Source organism: Homo sapiens, chromosome 7 (assembly GCF_000001405.40).
Source record: "Homo sapiens chromosome 7, GRCh38.p14 Primary Assembly".
NCBI lineage: Eukaryota > Metazoa > Chordata > Mammalia > Primates > Hominidae > Homo > Homo sapiens.
In genome coordinates this window covers 19754390-19775891 of record NC_000007.14, presented here as the reverse complement: position 1 = coordinate 19775891, position 21502 = coordinate 19754390, and the positions used below count along the sequence as shown (strand labels likewise).

At 35.7% G+C, this 21502-nt stretch overlaps 1 protein-coding gene and 1 long non-coding RNA gene across 9 annotated transcripts in view; one reads left to right on the top strand and one right to left on the bottom strand.

The window, feature by feature from the left end:
- LOC107986774 (uncharacterized) overlaps positions 1-21502 on the bottom strand; it is a 92330-nt gene that overhangs the window by 38456 nt on the left and 32372 nt on the right. The gene's annotated exons all lie outside the window — the stretch shown is intronic.
- The window catches only part of TMEM196 (transmembrane protein 196), a 54303-nt gene continuing 35075 nt past the window's right edge, over positions 2275-21502 (top strand). For 3 of the 8 annotated variants that reach the window (NM_001366626.1, NM_001366625.1, XM_017011928.3), the window contains exon 1: positions 2275-3360. In NM_001366626.1, the coding sequence (NP_001353555.1) occupies positions 3196-3360 (165 nt within the window). In that variant the 5' untranslated portion in view covers positions 2275-3195. The remainder of the gene's footprint in view (positions 3361-21502) is intronic. The other 5 variants (NM_001366628.1, NM_001366627.1, NM_001363562.2 and 2 more) reach the window with 3 other exon arrangements.

Genomic DNA, 21502 nt, shown 5'->3' with positions numbered 1-21502 from the left:
TAAAGTTAGCCACTATAAAGATGTTTTCTTTTATTAAGGCATCTAATAAGAATTATTTTGAGGCTACTCACATTCACTTGTATCATGCATAAGCCAGCAGATGGCAAACTTGAGATTTTTTGTGCTATTGCTCTTGCCAAAGTTGTGGAAATATTGAATTATCTATCAATGGATCTCATGAATAGCTCTTTTGGTGTACTACAGCGTTAGAAAAATCAAATTCAGAAATTGTGGAGCTACTGGTATTTGGATAGTGGTGTGCTTCATATGATTTTTTCTTGATTTATAGTTTTTACCCTATAATTATTTGTCTAGCAAATAATTTGGAGGGATAATTATAATAAGAATCATAAATAATTTGTCAGTTTGAACTCTTTTTTCTTGATTTCTGTATTTAGGAGGAAATTTTAGGTGTATTTGGATTTATCTTAGGAGGATCATTACATGATATTTAAAAGGCACAAAAAATATCCTTTGTGTCCCAATAAAGATAACGTAATTTTTTTTGAAAATTTTAACACTGATGCTCATGTTTTAAAACTCAAAACAGCAGTTTCCTCTATAGAAAATAATTGTTTTTATTTGTAAAAATATTTGTTTTATTGTGAATTATTGTTAGTTACTTATGTGAAGATGAGTTGAATTTCTTCCATATACAAAATCAAAAGTTTTGGATTTCTAACCAATGACCCAGAATCAATCAGGATTGGTTTTTATCAGGCATATGATAACCAATCTTATATTCCAAGCCATCACATTCAGAGATAAAATGTTAACCGCAATATATGTTTTGTTTGTTTCTTTTTCTCTGTGAAATTCAACTATTGTTAATACCATCCCTGTGTTCTCTACAAAAGTTTATTTCCCTTCCTATATGTCTCCATTAATCAATTCATTTAATATTACAACTTGTTGTCTTCCTAACAGAGAAGCATTTTTTTCCTAAAGAAAAGAAGTGACTAAACACAAAGCAAAACTTCAACAACATATATGCTGTATTATTTATGCATATAAATTGGATCATTTAGATGACTTCTGTATTATTTAAATTAAATAAACTTTACATCATTAAAGCCATACACTAATGAGGTACTTTAGCATGTCTTTGAGGATTTAAAAGCATAGAAATGAATCCACTAATTATCATTCAGTACCAATGTTTATTTGTACTCCAAATATCACAATAACTGAAGCTCTTTAAGGCCTAACAAATTGTAACTCTTCTTCCTTACATTTGTTTTATTTTTAAGAGAAAAGGATTCAAATTTTTAAATTATAGAATATAAACATATGAAAAAAATTATAGTGTAGAATTGAGTTTAAACTCTAAAAGAAGCCCTTAATCAAATTTAAGAAAACTGAAACTGGCATTTATGTTACAGAACTTATGCTATAGGTCACCGAGCTTTTATGTTCTCATCATGGGAGCTTTAAGAAGCCTCTAATAGAGGCGCCTGCACTGCACTGATGTATAGAAGTCAACATTCCCTAGTCTTGTGTTATTGTACCCTAACCTCATCTTCCTTTGTTCTATTTTCCTTCAGTCCATGTCGAACTGGAGAACCCAGTTTTTGAGAAAGATGACCCACACCCAAAACCCTCTCTTTATCCCACTTCCTAGATCTCCTTGATAGAATACCTTGAGATTTTTCATAAAACTAGAGTAATGAAAATGGGGTCTAAACACAGCGATCCCTAGACATCTAGAGTCTCATAGGCATCAAAAGACAATGCAAAAATATCCCAGGCCAAGCTGGACTGGCCCCTGCCCTAAAGATTCTGATGAAAGTAGACTGTCAAAAATAATTGTGCATTAAGCCAGACGTGTTTTTTTTTTAAATAATGCCTGTTCTAATGCATACACATCTCTTGAATTTTGTTGAGAATATATAATCCCAGCTCAGTTGGGTCTAGCTATGCCTCCCAGAACGTGTGGTCACGCTCCTAGGGGAAAGCAAGGGTCTGTGGCTGGAGAGGAACAAAATCACCGTGGAGGTGTGGCCCCCATCAACTGCTTCTTCGCCCTACGACACGGAAGGTGACAGGCTGTGATGGCCGGGAGTGGACATTCCTTGTAAGCAGGCTTGAATCTAGCTCTCCTAGACAGGGGAGTTCCTTGGTGAGGGGCCTTGAGAGTCCTAGTGACATTAGGAGTCTGGCTTTTTCCACCCCCCTGGGGTTTCCGTCTTTCTTTGCTCACTGCTCCCCCTACCCCGCGTACAAGCTAAAGAAAGTTTTTCTCAGAATGAGCCCGCGTTGACGTAGGCATCGCCTCCCCTCTCCGCTGGATAGAAGCCCAGAAAGGAGCCACGGGGAGAAGCGGAGGTAGGGGTCGCCTGGATTTCTGTTGCTGCGGTCCGGGGGCGGGGCGGATCAAAGGCCAGCCAAGAGTACTGGTCCTGGATCTACAAATACATTAGGCTTTTTCCTCCTCCGTCAACCTCCTAAACCCCAATGAGGTCATAGCAATGAAAGAGAATCAGCTCGAGAGAAAGGAGGAGGAAGAGGACGACGACGAGGGAGAAGAAACCCAGACGGAAAGAGGCCATCAGACAAGGTCGCTTTTTCTGGCGACAAAGCAACTGCAAGGAGCGTGGTGCTGAATATCATCCGCCCGCTCTGCCTGGGGACCCAGAGACTTGCAGAAGCACTTCGCATTGCCACGAAAACAAAGGAGAGGTGACGAACGGGAGAGGGAGAGAGAAACTCGGAGCGGTTCCCTTTGGATCTCCGGGAAGCAAAGCTCCTCTCCTCGGCAATAAAACAGAAGGGACCCTGTGAAAGGGTCTAGTAGGCTGAGGAGGGCGCGGGTTTCCCTGCGGAGATTTGGGACGCGGCAGAACTCTGGACAGCGCCTGGGGAGCAAGGCTCGGAGCTCCCTGGGCTCCTCCAGGTTTTCCGCTGCTTAAAAGCCCCGGTACCGGTGTGCAATCTTCGCACCACCGAACCCAGGAAGATCCTTCTACGATCCCTATCTGAACGTGCCAGGGGGTGGAGCAGCTCCTTTGCCTCTGGCCCAGCCAGGGAAGGTCTTCGTTTCTGGAAATCCAGCCCTTGTGGATAATGCCTCGCTCTTGAAGAAAGAAAAGTTTTGGGATCTGGTAGGGGGTGGAAGGGGTAAGGAGGATAGTGGAAGAAAAAAAGGTAGATGGTTGATTTCCCTCTCTGATCTGGAAGGAAGATGACCGAGGAAGGATGTGCACCAGCGGTCAGATTATTGGGAGCCTCTTGGTGCTCTCCGTGCTGGAGATAGGGCTGGGGGTGTCCAGCGTGGCCGTGGGGGCGGTCAGCTTCAGCCTGGCCCTCCGAGAGCACAAGCCGCAGCTCGGAGACTCGTCCCCGGTATGGAGCGGGGTGTGTGTACGTTGAGCCATTTCACTCTCTCTTTACCTCTTTACGGTGATGGTCAGGGTGCGCGCATTAGTCACTCCCTCCCTGGGAAACAAAATCATAGATCTCTGGCTTGCATGTAGGTTCATGCTGACAAGCTATGCTTCTTTATATTGTCCTTTATTCGTTTTCTGTTTTGTTTTGTTTTGTTTTGTTTTGTTTCTTACTTGGGCTTAAGACCAAATTAAATGGCTTTGTTTAAAGGTGGGGGTGGGGGGTTAGTTTCCACTGGCTGATTCTACAAAAGGCTGCTTTGCCCAGTGGTGCTGTTTGGGAGGCGGGGGGAGGGGGGTGTCACACCTGTCAAGGGCAGGCTCACTTAATCTTTTGTTCCTTCTACAAGGAAAATCAAAATAAGAGTATTCCATCATTTTTTTGTATCAGGGAACAAGCAGGGATAGTTATGCATTTATCCCTGGGCAATAATGCCCAAGGTACACCAGAGGCAACACCAATAACAAAAACAGAAACGTGGTGTGAGTGTGAAAGGAAGTTTGTGGGTGCATTTCATTCCAGAAAACATTGCTGTTAATTTTCCTTTGCTACATTTCTGATATTTCACCTCTGAAAACGCTTTTGTAAGTTCTAGACAGTAAGTTAGAAAAACATCAGATGGTAAGACGTGTAATAACATTCTAAATGGAGAATAATTCTGCTTACAGAGTACCTAACTGCTCAGAGAAACTGTCATAGTTATCTCTAGGTCAGATGTCAGACTCAACAAGCTTCTTTTTTACTAGGATGAATCTCCAAGAAAGCCTTAGAGACCCATTTCTTCCACCAAGATTCAATAAAATAACTCAGCACCATTCCTAATGTGAATCTAATTGTGAAAACCAGTTTTTTCCTTCAAGCTATATATGTGTCATATACTTCTGGATGCCTAGCTTGATCCTACTTTTCAAGATAATTCAATAGAAAGTATTCTGTCACTGATAATCTGTAGCATGTTTAACCATCATGGCTTAATCACTTGAGCTTTAAGTCACTAAAAGAAAATGATTATTACGGAGTTCAAGAAAAATTATTCAAAAGTAATTCATTTTTGAAAGATGCTGTAACTTTTTTTTGAAACTGGCAAAATTTTGCTTTGGATAATTAGATTTATATATTTTTTCAGGTGAGATAAATGTTTTTAAATTGCAGAACTACAAAAAAGAAAAATAGTGTTCAATCCTAACATTGAATTCATCCAAGAATCCTTACTTTGAATTCAATAATAAGTTACTATCAGCCTCCAAATAATTATCTTGTTCTTTGTCATGTAATTTTTGTCAATGTATATATTAAATTTGAGTTTGAAAGGATAAAGATATCTTAAATCTGATAATTGTTCATTTTATATGTGGCAGTAATTATTTGGAGAGTTGTAGTTATTGTTCTTGTTTTTGTTGTTATCATATAAACAGAAATAACGCTTTAAAACTTCATTGAACAACTGTCAAAATGAAGTGTAATGTCAACATTTAGGGAAAGAGGGAGAAAAGGTGATCTTATGATATCTTAATGGGGAGAAGCCTTAAATACTCTACAGCTCAATCCCCGCCCCCAACGAAATTCAACAAATTGAGTCAATTAAGTTAGGTTTTCCCTAGATAATATCAAAGTATCCAGCTTATCTTTGAGAATTAAAAAATGGTTATGTTAGCTTAGTATCATGTAAGAAAAAAATGATTAAATATTTTTTCTTTTTCTCAGACTATTTACTATTATCTAGATGTGTATGTACAGAAAATGAAAATTTTGAATCACCTCATGGAAAAGCAAATAAGTCAGACATATCTACATAGTCACTATAAGAAAGAATTATTTCCTTTTTTAACTGGTTGTTTAGAGTGAGCAAAATTCATTTGGGTTTCTAGAACAATAGTTTTGAATTCTATTGTCTGATTCAATAAAATCAAACAATACATCTGACTGAATGAATGGGTTTGACACCAGAATGACCAAACAGTTGCTCACTTTTATAAACCCATTTAAAAAGTGAAATTTGTGAAGAAACAAATACCCAGTTGGGATCATTGTGTTTATTGGGTGACAGACTGGCTAAGTAGTTTCTAAATTATTTTGGGGAAATCATTTATGGTACAGTCTCAACTACCTCACTTTCTTCAATGATGAATTTATGTAGCCAATATTTGTGGAGGGCTTAGCATGTGAAAGGCATTTTACCATTTACTACCAATACTATAAAGATGAGTCAGAGCACTGTCTTAAAAAAACTACTCCATAGTGGAGGAAACAAAATGGTACATTACTAACTTTGCCAGCAATGAGAAATTAGAATGTGACTTCAGAGAGATACGGAGGCAAAAAAGGGGGAGAAAGATTGGGATGGTCAATGAAATATCCATGAAAGAAGTATTATTTTATTCTTGATCTTGGAAGTTTATCAGGACTTAGAATCAATGTACTGCAGTGTTAACTAATGCTTCACAGTGTAAGATCTGAAGCCATACTACCTGGTTGCAAATCCCAGATCTACCACTTACTTAGCTGGGTGACTAGCCCAAGTTTCCTTATCTATAAAATGGGGTCATTAAAAGGAACAAATTAAATACAGTTGGCCCTCCCTATTCATAGGGGATTGGTTCCAGGGCACTCCTGGTTACCAAAATCTGAGGATGCTGATGTCCCTTATGTAAAATAGTGCAGTATTTGCAATAACCTAGGCACATCTTCCAATATACCTTACATCATCTCTAGATTACTTATAATACCTAAAACATGTAAATGCTATGTAAATAGTTGTTATACTGTATTTCCTTTGTATTATTATTGTTGTTGTATTGTTTTTTTTCCCAAATATTTTCAATCAGAGGTTGGTTTGTATTCATGGATGCAGGACTTGGGAATATAAAGGGCTGATTGTAATGTTCTTAGTAAATTGAATGGACTGTAGTAAGCACTGAGTAAATATGAGCAGCTAATACTGAGTGCACAGACTGGCAGTGGAGGGCATGAGAAGAGAGAGTCTTTCAGTCAGCATAGATGAAGGCAAAAAACTGGGACAGGTTGGGTTGTGGCCCAGGAAGAGTAGGCTCTTCCATTTTTCTGGGGCTTAGGTGTGTAAGAGGAAGATAAGGATAGAAAAAATGATTGGGGCCAGACCATAGGAGACTGTGTGCCAGTTTGAGGTGACAGAATTACTTTCTCATATTTTGAATAATAATAATAATAATACCCATTCTTACTTCCCCTTCCCAAAGTGATACTAAGGAAATGCAGAAGAAAGCTAGATAGAAAATTATTCATCTCTTTGCTAAATTATGAATTAAAAATCTGGATTATTTATAAATGCCAAATAAGATTTTACAATAATTAACCTGTCACAATACATGTAGTCTACAATCAAACTATATTTTGATTAGTGCTGTAAAACTCCTTTCAACACATTAATATCATTACTATAAGATTGCTGAATTAAATTTAAAAGTCAGTGGAAGTAAAAGCTGCACTATAAAAGGATTATTTTTATATAGAGAGACCCTAAAATCATAAGCTTTTTATCTAGGACAAGTGCATTAAGGTTTTAAGCAACTGCTGCATTTTGATTTTTTGGCCCCGAATATGGAAATACAAAAACCTGAAAGATGGCTTAAAAATAAAGATAAGGGCTTAAAATGTATGAGAAGGATGCTTACACAGATTATTTCCAGGCACTATTTCATCTGATTAATCAGGCAGGGATGCTTCCTGTGATAAATTTTTAAATATGGGCAATTAGAAGGAAAAATCAGTTAACTATAATTTCATAGAGAAAGAAAGCTATAGGTGTCATTATAGCATTTTTGTTTCTTCTTGATTCTTTGTTATAGCTGATATGGTCATCTACAATGAAAGCACAAAATCAGAGGCATAACTGTTAGATAACAATTAATAAACTATTGAGTAAAATGCCTTGGAAAAGATATAGTCATGTGAATTATAACTGATGTATCAGATTTATAGACAGGAAGTAAAATGGACAGAGCTCTGTTTCCAAGTTGCTGTGTGAAAGTCACTCTTCTCAGCCTCCAGTGCATCATCTATAATGGGAATGGACTAGGTTTAGTAGCACACAGATTTATAAATCCCTGAGAATTTTATTGCTGTAGGTTGAGATTTGGAAATCTAAAGATTCAAATGATGGTATCCAGAACAAAATATGATGCTAAGTTGTATTTTATATATATTATGCTAAAATTCCATCCATCTATTAACATATCTGATAATATCCTGTAAAACTTAATTTATTAAACAAACTTTTCTAAGCCTAGTTCTCCCACATGTAAACCACGAGGTAGTATTTTTAAATATTTAAAAGTTTTCTTATCTAAATCATTTAATGTTTACAGGTTTTATTGCTTATTTTTCTGGAGCATATTTGATCTACAAATTATATCTTTATCTGCTTAATAAATCTGATGTTTTGCTTCAGCGAAATTTACAGCATAGCCAACACACATACCTTTTATGTAGACTGTTGGTTTACCATGGCAACAACTCAGCCAATTGTAGGATTTTGTTGAAATTCACCTCTGTGCATTCTGATCTATATTATAGCAATCCAAATGAGATGCTGTATATAAATCATAGCTGCTCCAAAGTATTATTTTTAATATTTAAGCTTTTAAAATATATTTAATAAAAAAGAAATAAAATAAAGTGAAAGAAACCTCTCAGTTACTGCAAATGTACACAATTTGAAACTAGTGTGTCTCTAACCAGGTAATACATCATTTTTTCTCCCACATCAAGTACTTAACATAAGGGATTCATATCCTTTAGCATAAGATGAAAATGCTGCTCCTATCCCCCCAAAAAATTACAAACGTATTTTTATGGCCCATTTTAAAATTAACTGAAATTATACAAGTAATTTATAAATATGTTCAAAATGTTGTTCAAAGTTATAACTAAAGTCCTTTTCCCTACTCCCTCATCAAAATCAGGCACCATTATTTTATTATAGTTTCACAGACATTTCGCCATGTAGAAAAAATAGTTTTGTTCTGGGCATATAAACCAATTTTCATCAAATTTTTGCATATAATAAAGTCCACTAATGGATTCTGTAGAGCCCAGGTAAAGAATCTCTTTCTTATATGATTAATACTCTCATTTGCAAATGCTACTGATTATCCACTGGGCATAAGCAGTTGGATGATTGACAATCAGATAAGTTAGGCAAGCCAAACTACTGGGAAATATAGTTATTATTCAGGGGGCCATACCATGCGTCAAAAGAGATGTAAATATGTGTTTATTTCTGGTGTAAATTGATAGTGGTATAATAGAAAATTTGGTGAGTTTTGTCACATTTTTCTTTATTTCATGAATTTCTTAGTCTAGATTCTGTTCACATGTAAATCGCACATACTGGAATTTCTATCCAAAGTCCATGACAAAATCTGCTTTGAGATTTTTGTTCTTATTCAAGGGTATAACTGGTCTTGAAGTCTTTGTCCTAGAAACATTAAGAGATAACTAATAATATTTGCATCAGTCACCTACTAATTGACAGTTTGCTTGATAGAAACATCTGAATAAATTCAAAACTTTTAATTTGGACATTTTTGCCTAAAATATATCTTAGTTCGGTCTCTGTATTGCCTTAATTATGAGCCAGATTATCCAATGTGTACTTTGAATAGAACCAAACTATCTAACTTTTTTGTATATTCATTTGGTTTTCATGCAACAATTAATCATATTGGTAGATTAATCCACCCTGAAATGTCTCTCCTTGGCTTCAATAAAAGCTATAATAGATTTTGATGTGTGTGTGTGTGTATGCACTTGCATACACACACACGCAAACTAAAGGTGACCAAAGGTGAGAGAAACTGCAACAGTTTTTGGGTTTGAACCATCATTTTACTTGTGAAGTGATCCAAATTTCATTTCACTACTGCATTAAAAAAGTTATATATATATGTGTATATGATCCTATATTTATCATATGTAATATATATGATCCTATATATTTTATATATATATACACATACACACATGAGATCCTATTCACGCAAATGGAACTCCTGTACCTAAATAACTAGGTCCAGCATTGGTCTAAATATTTAAATTTGTCTTAGTAATCTAGAGAAATTTTCTTGCGGCCACTCTGCAGATAGATGTTCCAACATGCGAAATGGACAATGCCTTGATAATTAGACTCTCATTGAGCATATTTCTAGAAAAGAGAAAGAGAGAAGAAACTGTGTGACTACTTTCCCCTGTAATGTACAAAGCCATGCAGTCCTTATAACTGCAGATCTAATCTATATATACTTCATTAAAATTAAATGACAATCAGATTAGATTTATACATCTCACTCAATATAACGGTATCAGTGGAAAAGTTTTATTTCTTCACCAAATCACAGTCTCATTATTCCTAAAAGGAGGAAAATATTAGTACCTATTTCATGGAGTTCTTGTGAATCTCAGAAAACGATGTTTCTAAAGCTGCTAGTTCTGGGCCTGGCATAGAGTAAGAGATCAGTGAGCATCAGCTGCTGCTTTCTCTCTGCTGGCCTGTGCTGCTCCTTGCCTCCCTAGGACCTAGAGTCCACTAGTGATGCTCTGGCTCTCAATATTTCTCCCACACCTTTCATCAACCCTAGTTTGACCCATTCTTTTTGTTTTCGTTGTTCCTGAATGGTATGTATCTAGTTAGGTTTTGATTTAATTAGGATATTTACATTAGCAACTATGAAAATGTACCAAAATATCTATATTAGAAAAGTTTTGTAAATACTTAGTCTAAAACTGAATGAGGAAACATAAAACACCTCTTCTTTTGTTTTTCTTTTGGAGTGAGAGAGGGTGGTAGAAACTCTATCATAAAGCTACTTGGCAATCAGATTAACAAGATAATTATATAAATTAGGCAAATCGAATAGTGTGAATATGGTGACCATTATTTATGCCATAAAACAAAGTATTCAAAAAACATTTAGAACTATGTAAATACTTGTTGAAAAGTGAAAGTACAAATTAACACATCTAATAAAGATGCTTAATATCTTAGAAACTTGAACTGCCTGAATAGTAGCTTCACAAGCCATGTTTATTACATGATGTATTATTCACAGATACCTCAATTAAATACCTAGATTTCAATAATGACTATTATAACCTTAACTGGTGTCCATGATTTATTAGTACCAATAGTAAAACTCCCAAGAAGCAACTCTAAGTTCCATTAGTTCGTAATCTATTGTTAAATATTGAATAAAACCATGTGGTCAAGGCAAAAAGAAAATATTAATGGTTAAATAAATAGATCAACTTGGGAGATAGAGTGCCCTGATCTATTTACCCTATAGAAATAATTCTAGACATGATTTATTAATAGTTAACTAATGTCCAGATGCTTCCATATGTATTATTATTTCTAATTTTAACAACTTTATGAAAAATGTGGTATTTTATAAAGTTTAAGTAGAAAAAGGAACTTACTTATTTAAGTAATTTAATCCACTGTTATTTAATCAGCTTAGTCAGTACTTTAAGTCAGAGCAATATTGTTTCAAAGTCTATACTTTTTCTATTGTGTTGTGTGGGACTTTGGAAATTTTCATGAAAAACTTTCGCTGAGGCCTGACCTCATTATTTGCTCCCCACCCTTGAATACATGGACCAGGCAGGATGTCTTAAAGGCTAAGTCCCAATCATTCTTTTTATCTATTTTCCGGAAGAGACTAGCACAGTCAATCAATCAACAAGCACAACCTCCATGTTACCAGAATTTTGCATCTAAGATATTGGACCTAAATCGTTCCTGCCATTAAAGCTTAAGCCTTAGTGTTGAATTATGAATCTCAAACTATCCTTAAATATTATGAGGGCTGGTCAGTATAGCACATGACAACAAATTTAAACAGAGTTCATAATAAAAGGCATAAGCAAGAGATCACTTTCTCTTCATCTAAGCCTTGAAGACAGAATAGGTTTCCAGTGGGCAGAGGAGGAAAAGTGTGCAAAGCAAAACTATTAACATTTGTAAAGTCATGGAGAAGAGGTAAAGGCAATGAAATGGAGTCTTTGTGGGTCACTGAGGATATCAGCCTTGTTAGGGTGAGACATGTTCATGTAAAAACTGCAAAATGAAGATCTGCCTCAACTAAAAAAGATGGTACCAGTCTTGAAAAGGTCCTGAAAGAATGCCAAGACTGGTCTGCTCTTGATACCCTGCTAGGCTTGGAGAGCTCTGCAGGGCAGAACTTGACAATCATGAGTTCAAGACAGTTAAGCCCAGGCAATGCTGCTCAATTTCAAGGCAGAATGCCAGCTGGGTTCTGAGATGTACATCCTGGATCAAAAGAAAGACTTGAGGAAATTCTTGAAATTGAGGAAAATTAAATTTACCATCACAAATCTAACCACATTTTCAAGTGTCATTCCTGTTGATGGTAGATTTTTAAACTTGCAAGTTTCTTATGTTCAGTGAATCTCACAGCTGGCTGGCATATAAAAATAGAAATTTGTGCATTTAATTGGAGATATTGGCATAATACAAAGAAGTGAGAATAGGTTTGGAAGCTATTAAGATCTGGGTTCGTATTCTACCTCTAGCACTTTTTAATTGTTTAGGCTTGACTGAGTTACATTATCTCACTGAACAATCAGTTAATTCATCTGCAAAACAGAAATACTATCACTTATCTCATGGAGTTGTTCTAAAAATTAAATGTGATATTTATATTATTCAATATACACATTAGATATTGAAAAACCATGTCTGACCCACAACAATGGGATGCATATTTTTGTCATTTTTCTGGAAAATCTATAATCTGTGTGTGGTTTCTATTCGTCGTTTATAGACATATTTATTTTTATACATTTATGAAGAGGATCTTGCTGTAAGACCATTGATGAAATTGACCTTGGACTCTAGGCTTGCTAACATTTAGGTCATATACCCTCTCTTAGAAACTGTTTACTCTACATAACTGATTTTGTTCCTTAGTAATAGTTGTGATTTGGTGTGCATGTTCCAGAGTCCCAGGAATAATTGTTTTAGATCAATGTTGGAATACCAAGGTATAATTTTTGTTTGTTCTACCAAACAGAGACATATGTTTGATTTTCTTGTTATATTTGGCAGGGTTTTTGGAATTCTTAGTTGCCTTCTTTTTAAATTTGTACCCTGCCAATTATTTTTCCATATGGATTATTCTGAGGAATTAAAATAATATCAATGATGTTGATAACAGCAATGGCAGCTTATGTTTATAATAAACCACATTGCCCAAGAAATCCAACTGCTTTCGTTACACCATTTATCCCAGCAGATAAATTTATTCACTTAAGGGATGAGAGACTAAAGGATTTAGGCTTTAGTGATTTAAGATCAGAAAGTGAAACCAGTAACAGAAGTAGGATAAAAATCAAAATCACCTAAAGAGAGAAATATGTGTAGGAGTCTGTGTGTGCACACCCAGGCACAGAGAAGGTAAAAAGATAAGCAATTCCTAGGAAAAAGTTGGTAATTGTCATCGATATACAATTTAATCTGCATTTAGGCTGCTATTACCCTGACTTGGGGGCAAGTTCCTAATGCCATGACCTTCTGTGCAGCTATGTTTGTTTCCATAACTGGCTAGCTTTCGGAAACCGCTATGCATGTTGGATGAACATTCATCTGTTGTGTTGGCAATTCTTGGGAAGAACATAACTTCCATTCCTTAATCCCCTAGGGTCACTGGCTATTTTCAAATATGTAAGAGCAGGTCACAAATCAGACTCAAAGCTGGCACAACTCAAGGGAGTAATTTTTTTTCTTTCTCCTTCACTAAATTCATCATCTACATTTTAAACCCTATTATAGTTTCCACATGTTTCAAGTTGTGAGCTTTATATCTGAATGTTGTCCTAAGCTATAGCCAAGTACATTTTAGTCATACTTGATGTGAAAGAATCTTAAACATAAAATATAAGCAAAATGATGTAAATTGGAATAACCTACATTAATATAAAACTACTTTAAGTTACATAAATACACTTATTAAATTGTTATTATGAACTATATAATACAGTCGCACAAGTATATAAAAAGTTTAAGTTACTGCAGTAACTAGAATATTATTGATAATATTATCCATACATTGATGCTTAATATTAATCACATTCCTTTTTACTTCCCTCTAGAAGTAATCACTATTATAATGGTTTATATGAATTTAATTTTAAAATTTATTTATTCATTATATTTGACTAAGATAACACAAATTTGAACTCCAAAGAGAAACTCTTCTGGTTTTTTTACTACTATCTATGAGACGGGTTTTCTTTTGTTTTAAGAGCCTATGTGAATAATGACTATAACTAAGATTTATTTAGAAAAATGACATTTAAATATACTGCAAATTCAAAGTTCCCCTTATATAAAATTCACAAGTTTGGTTATGATTTTTCTGTCACTTTTGAAGCAGAAACAGCTCTAACACCTAAAAGCCTTATTTACTTAGCATGCTCAAAATATTCAAGAGATAATTTTTTAAAAAAGAAAAAACGATCACAAAACAGAATTGGAACAGAACACAATGCATAATGCATTAAAAACAAGAAAGCTTCATTACATGAACACTGAGGGGGAGATGTGAAGAAATTGCGTTCTGAGAATTAAGGCTGATCTGTTCTGTGCACTGAAAGATTTGGGTCCTGGGCCAGTTTGAAATTTCTGAGATTTTTTTGGACTTGGATTTCTTTAGAAGTGTGTGCATGCCTGTTAGCTACATGCTATGTCTGGTGATTTCTTCCGAAATTTATTCTTAAGTTCATCTTTCTTTCAGTTACTTTAGTCTCTGAAAAGGTTTCTGTCACTACCTGATGTGCATCTTCATTTAACACCATGAAACTATTCTTTCCATCTCTCTCTTGAGTGCTTCTGGTTTAATTTCTGTTTGCTATAGTTGCATCTTATCTCACCTGGTCTGCTAAGCCACCAAGATGGCTGCCGTTAATGGAGGAACACCTTATCACATAAACGTGTCTGTTGTACATTTTATTGGGATTTTATTTTTCTATGAAGTTGATTACATGTGTGAGAGGTTATGTCTCTTTTGATAAAAGATGTACATTACCCTTTTCCAGTTAAACTGATGGTGAAATTTTCTATAGTGGAAGAAACACGGTGTATGGAACTATATTCTTTACATTATTTCAGTCCTTCATTACAGTTTAAAAAATAAGAAATTAGTTTGAGCTTAAGGAAAAAAGAACATTGCATAATTAGCAGGGTTTTCCATCGACTAAGAAAAGAAAGAAATATAAATAGGAAGATGGAAAGTGGCTTCTTTTGAAGATGTACGCTATGCTAAAATTGCAGAACTGGGAGAGGGGAAAGCTGAAAGCCAAGACCACTGAGGAGGTCTGTAAGTCTAATAAAGGCAAGGAAGGCTCAGGGATCTGGATTGTGAGCCCAGGGAGTGGGACCTGCAGGGATTAGGCTTATGAAGATGGGGCCAAGTCAACGTTGAGGTCAACGGCAATAACACTTGATGGGCCTTAACTCTGTAGTCCACACTGGGTTGGGATGAGACAAAAGAGGAAAAGACAGCGTGGTGTGGAAGAAAGCTCTGCGGGACTCCAGGAGCACAAGCTTCTGTTATGACTCTCATGAGCCACCCGCTTACTCTCCTCGGTTCTCTTTCTTGTTAGATTTAGTGAACAAATATTGATTCCACGGCTACTGTGTTTTATGTTGTGATTTTGTCCTGAGGGTCTAGCAGTAAATAAAATAACCATAATCCCTGATCTTCTGCTGCTTAATTAAAAAAGAAATATAGACAATGAGTAAATAATACACAAATTAAAATTAAAGATTGTGCTATGTTAAACAGGAAAATAGGCTGGGCGCAGTGGCTCACGCCTATAATCCCAGCATTTTGGGAGGCCGAGACAGGCAGATTGGTTGAGGTTGGGAGTTTGAGACCAGCCTGGCTGACATGATGAAACCTCGGCTCTACCAAAAATACAAAAATTAGCCGGGCGTGATGGCATATGTCTGTAATCCCGGCTACTTGGGAGACTGAGGAAGAAAAATCGCTTGAACCCAGGAGGCAGAGGTTGCATTGAGCCAAGATCATGTCACTGCACTCCAGCCTGGGCAATAGAGTGAGACTTCGTCTCAAAAAAAAAAAAAAAAAAAAAAAAAAGGAAAATATATAGGCTTATGAAGAATATAAAATAACTTTCTTAACAGTGGGAAAATCAGGAAAGCATCTCTGAGGAAGCAATATTTTCTCAGGAATGATGAGGCATTAGTCAGACATATAGAGGGAAGAGCATTGTTTCATGCAGAGGAATAGCGTGAGTAAAGATGCTGAGATAGGAAAGCTTTGGTGTGTTTCAGAAACTGAATGAAGTCCAGGGTGACTGAAGTATGACCTGAGGGGGAGGAGGTAGAAGGCATTGAGTGAGATAGTGAGCCTAATAGGGGTAAAAATTAGAACTTTATATACGTGCCACAACATTTAGATTTTTCCGTAATTATAAAAGGATCTATGGAAAACTTTTGAGCAGGAAATGGACAAGATTATAAAGGTCATTCTGGTTTTCAGTTTAGAAAATATATTGATGTCACACAGGAAGTCACAGGTGTAATTAGGAGGCTACTAAGATGTATGATACAATGGTTACTGCAATGAAAGCAGAGGTGGTAAAAAATAGAAGCACAGATAGTTACTTGATAAGACCTTGTGTTTTGTGTTCAATTTTATGCCATTATAGAGGGGATGTATTAAGAATAATTACCAGATTTTGAGATCAAGCAAATGATAGAATCGAGTTTCTGTTTAGTCTTTTGAGAAGTAGATAATTAGAAAAAAACTCTGTGTGCATGTGTGTGTGTGCCTGCGTGTGTGTGCGTGCATGTGTGTGTGTCTGGTGTAGGATGGGAGATCAAGAATCTGTTTGTGACCTGTGAAAGTAGAGATGCTTGTGAGATCAATATAGAGAGATGCTGTGGACTGTTAGATAAATAGGTCTAGAGTTCAGAAGAAAGGGCTGTGCTAGAAATATCAGTGTGGGAGTAATTAGTAAATACAAAATATTTTTAAGGTCATATGTTTGGTTGACACCACCGAAATAAAGCTTTTAGTTACTGTAATATTTAGAGAATGGATAGAAATGAGGAACCAGAAAAAAGGTACTGAGAAGTTTGGCCAGAGAGATATGCTGAGGACCAAAAGAGTGGTGTAAGAAAAGACCGAAGGAGAGACTTCCTTGTAAAATGAAGGCTGAAACATGGCTGTCATTGTTTGCTTTTGCAAGAGTAGCTGAAGTAAGGTAATGGGAACATAGGCCAGGCCAATGTGTGCTGAAAATATAATGAGAATTGAGAATCTAGACATTGTAAACAAGAGGCTTAGTGGTGAAGGGAGATGGGTTCCGTGTAGAGATAGAGCAACAGACTTTGGAGTCAAGGAAGTTTTCTGTTTTTAGGGGAGATTTTGGAACATGTTTACATGCCAATGTGAATAATGGGGTACAAAGGGAAAAAAATAAATATGTAAAGAGAAAAAGTCTTTGAGTAGGTGAAGGGTAATTGGATTTAGAGCTAAAGGGGGAGTTTTTTTTATTAATTCTCATCTTTGTCTACTGTAAAAAAAGAGAGAGCAAGTCAAGTATGAGTGAAGATGCAGGCTAAAGTATGACTAAGTCAAGTATGAGTGAAGATGCACATTAAATGGCCAATGCAGATACGAGTCTTGGACAGCTTCTGCTTTTTTGTGTAGCCTGAGACTCTAGCAGTCAATAGCTGAGGGTAAAGAAGGGATAGAATTCTGAGTACGTGTGCACTGAAAGCATCATTAAAATGTTTTCTCTTCCTATTGGTTGAGAATTATAATTGAGTCATGCAATGAACCAGAGATTTAGAAATAATTTATTCTAAATTCATCATTTCACAAATAAGTAAACTAAAGTCCAGAGAATCAGCATAGCTGGCTAGCTGTAGAACTAGGACCAGAGTCCAAATCATCTGTTTTTTTATTCTAACATTATTTCGACAGATGATTCAAAATATTAACTATCCTTAAAAAAATCTTTCAACCAAAAGGAAAATGCAGTTATCTGGCCACTACCCAAAACTGAACAGGAATGATCCCAAATTATTAGCAGTGCTAAGCCATAATGGAAATATAATTAGTATGTTAACAGATTTCAGAGGTTTCTACCTGTTTGGAAGTTTCAAAGAAATGGCTTTCTACACCAATTTTGGCATCTTTTCCATGGTGCTTTTCCAGACCAAATGAGAAATGGAAGCTAATTTTTAGAAGCTAATATTTTCCAAACCAACAAGAGCTATTGATCAATTTGGATAAGTAAGTGAATTGCCTTCAAGAAGGTTTTTTTAAAAACAGAGTCCAAAGCTCATTTATCAAGCAGTGAACATTCAAAACTTTGGACTGGAAATGTCAAAGTCATTAGGCTATTAACATTTGCTATCTGAGCATTTTCTTTTTAATTCAAATATATATGAATTAAAATTTATAAATTTACTACACCATTTGCCTGGGGTTCTTAGTAAAAAAAAAAAAAAGTATATATATAAAAATGGCTTCATTCAACACTATTTTAAAAGATAAATGCCTTTTAATCATCCTATATGTTTAAAAAGGTAACCTTTTTAATGCTTTTATTTTTAACCATGGATAGAGTACAGCATATTTACTAGTGATGGAGTGGGCTGTTTTCTAATATGAAAGTAAGAAACTAAAATATCATATAAAAGACAAGCAATATTAATTAATTTTATATACCAATCACTTATAATTAAAGTAAAATATTTTCTCAAAGGATCAGTTACTTTGGAGTAAAAAAAAGGAGTAACTTTAACTCATGATTTTGCTAATGTCTTTTCAGCTCCAGCCAAGCTATCTCACTAAACCTCTTAGACCCTCAGACCTACAGAATAGTCTTTTAGAGGGGACATGAGGGTTTAAAAAATACTAAGATGAAAGCATTGACTGGGCATCATGGCTCATGCTTGTAATCCCAGCACTTGGGAGGCCAAGGCGGGTGGATCAATTGAGGTTAGGAGTTCGAGACTAGCCTGGTCAAGTGACTAGGTTAGGAGTTCAAGACTAGCCTGGTCAAGTGAAACCCCATCTCAACTGGTGAAACCCCATCTCAACTAAAAATACAAAAAAAAAAAAAAAAAAAAAAAAGCTGGGTGTGGTGACACGCACCTATAGTCCCAGTTACTTGGGTGGCTGAGATGAGAGAATCGCTTGAACCTTGGAGGCGGAGGTTGCAGTGAGCCAAGATTGCGCCACTGCACTCCAGCCTGGGTGACAAACTGAGACTTCATCTCAAAAAAAAAAAAAAAAGTATCTACTGCAATATAAGATGCAAGTTTTGGGGATATTACACTATAGGTTATCAGAAAACTTATGCAGGTAAAAAGCAAACTGCCTTTAGAGCTAATTTAGGAAAACATTGTATTTTCTGAGTGATAAGATATTTGGGAAGAAACTTGTCTTTTCTTGACTTGTAGCCATTACTGGAACTGTGCCTCATCTAGACTTGCATGGTAAAATGTAGTAGCCAATAGCCACATGTGGCTATTGAGCACTTGAGATGTGGCTAGTGTGAATTAAGATGTGCTTTACACTATTCACCATAACAAAGACATGGAATTAACCTAATTGCCCATCAGTGATAGACTGGATAAAGAAAATGCGGTTCATATATACCTGGGATACTATGCAGACATAAAAAGGAATAAGATCAGGTCTTTTGCAGGACATGGATGGAGCTAGAGGCCATTATCCTCAGCAAACTAACACAGGAACAGAAAACCAAATACCACATGTTCTCACTTATAAGTGAGCTAATGTCTTTCAATAAGAACTTTTAATAAGAGCTCACTTTTAAAGTGAGCTAATAAGACATTAGCTCACTTATAAGAGAGCTAAATGATAAGAACATATGGACTCATAGACGGGAACAACACACACTGGGGCCTTTCAGAGGGTGGACGATGGGAGGAGGGAGAGGATCAGGAAAAATAACTAATGAATCTAGGCTTAATACTTGGTTGAGGAAATAATTTATACCACAAACCACCATGACACAAGTTTACCCATATAACAAACCTGCAGATGTACTCCTACACACGTAACTTTTAAAATAAAAGTTTAAAAAACAAAGATGTGCTACAGGTAAAAAATACATACTAGATTTCAAAGACTGAGTATGGAAAAAAGAATGTAAAATGTCTCAAGTCGTTTTATGTTGATTACATGGAAAAATGACAATACTTTTTATATATTAGATTAAATAAACTACATTGCTGAAATCCCCCTTTTGATCTTTTAATGTACTACTAAAAAGAATAGTGATATATGTGGTTTGCATTTGTGGCTTACATTAGATTTCTATTGCATAGCTTTTGTCTGAATACATTTTTTTTTTTGATCAAAAGAAATGAGTAGCTGGTCAGGAAACTTCATGCTTTTTTTTTTTTTTAAATAGAGTCTCACTCTGCTGTCCAGGCTGGAGGCTGGAGTACAGTGGCACAATCTTGACTCACTGTAACCTCTGCCCACCAGGTTCAAGCGATTCTTGTGCCTCAGCCTCCTGAGTAGCTGGGATTACAGGCATATGCCAGCATGCCTGGTTAATTTTTATATTTTTAGTGGAGACAGGGTTTTGCCATGTGGGCCAGGCTGGTCTCAAACTACTGGCTGCAAGTGATCTGCCTGCCTCAGCCTCCCAAAGTGCTGGAATATAGGCATAAGCCACCACGCCTGGCCTCACATTTTGTTTTGCTAAGACATTAACAATAGATGAGGAAAGTCTTTAAGACAATTTGTGTTATTTTTTGGCATATTCATAAACTGGAAAGGCAGAATTGGCTTATTTGCCTTGTAGTGACACCAGAAACAGGTGTTACAGTACAGCATTTCTCAAAATGAACCCTTAAATTATTTGTACCCATGACACAATACTTTCAATCTTATTTTTTTACTAGTAAAATCAAAGTCTCTCTGTTACTTTTTATTAGTGGGATTTCAAGTATAGTATAATCTGGCAAGTACCAAAAGTGTTCCAGGCAAGGGAAGACTATTTCCCACTTCTCCCACTGAACTGAAATTCATTCACTCATCGATCTATTCATCACCAAACATTCACTGAAATTTTTGTATGTGCACGTCTCATGTTAGTGATAAAGGTTTAATATATATTTTAATAGCAGTCGACCAGGAGGAGTTTAAAACCTTTTGCAATGACAGATATATAATTAATAATTACCAAAAAGTATGATCAGGGCATCAGTGTTAAAATATGCATTAAAACAATATTTTGTTAGATTTTGCCTAAGTAGAAAGGTTAAAGAAAGCATCACAAATAAAGTTAATAATTGCACTGAATCCTGATGTTCAAAAAGAAATTTTTCACATGGAAGGAGGAAGATAAACATTTATTAACACCTGCCATGTACCATAACCCAAGATTGAGCACTTTCACATGAATTGTCCCTTTAAGACCATAGTTACGTGATATTACCATTAGTCTCCTTATTCTTATAAAAAGAATGGAGAGAATCATTTCATTATAAATAATAAGTGCTGTATCAGCTGTGATTTTCATCATGGTAGACACCGAAGAAATGCCTGCTAAAAATGAGTGGGAAAAAATAGGGTTATATAGATTCGTGATCAGAAAATGTCAGAGCTGGGAGAGATTCACAATTTCATGTGATCCAACTGTCTCTTTTTGAAGATGAAGCCCAGAGAATTAATTGACTTGCTTAAGGTAAATAAATAACAAAGGAAGATAGAGTCGCCACCTAGAGGTTCTGTTCTGAATTGCAGAACTTTTTTTTTTCTTTTTCCTTTTTCTTATAGTTCATGGCCACGAGTAGTTAGTTGACAAGCTTTTAGCCCATGACTACAGAAAAGAATTTCATCAAAACCTGCACTCTGGCAACAACACACTTCAAACAATGCTCACGATGTATTGCAAGCTTTCAGATTACTTGTAAAAGATTCCCATCTGTATTCTACTGATTAGAGTTGTAATTATAATATTAACATTTAATCATATTCTCTTTTTGGAAATTCTGATGATTTTTTTCATCTGCTTCCAGTGAATCAATTTGACAAATAAT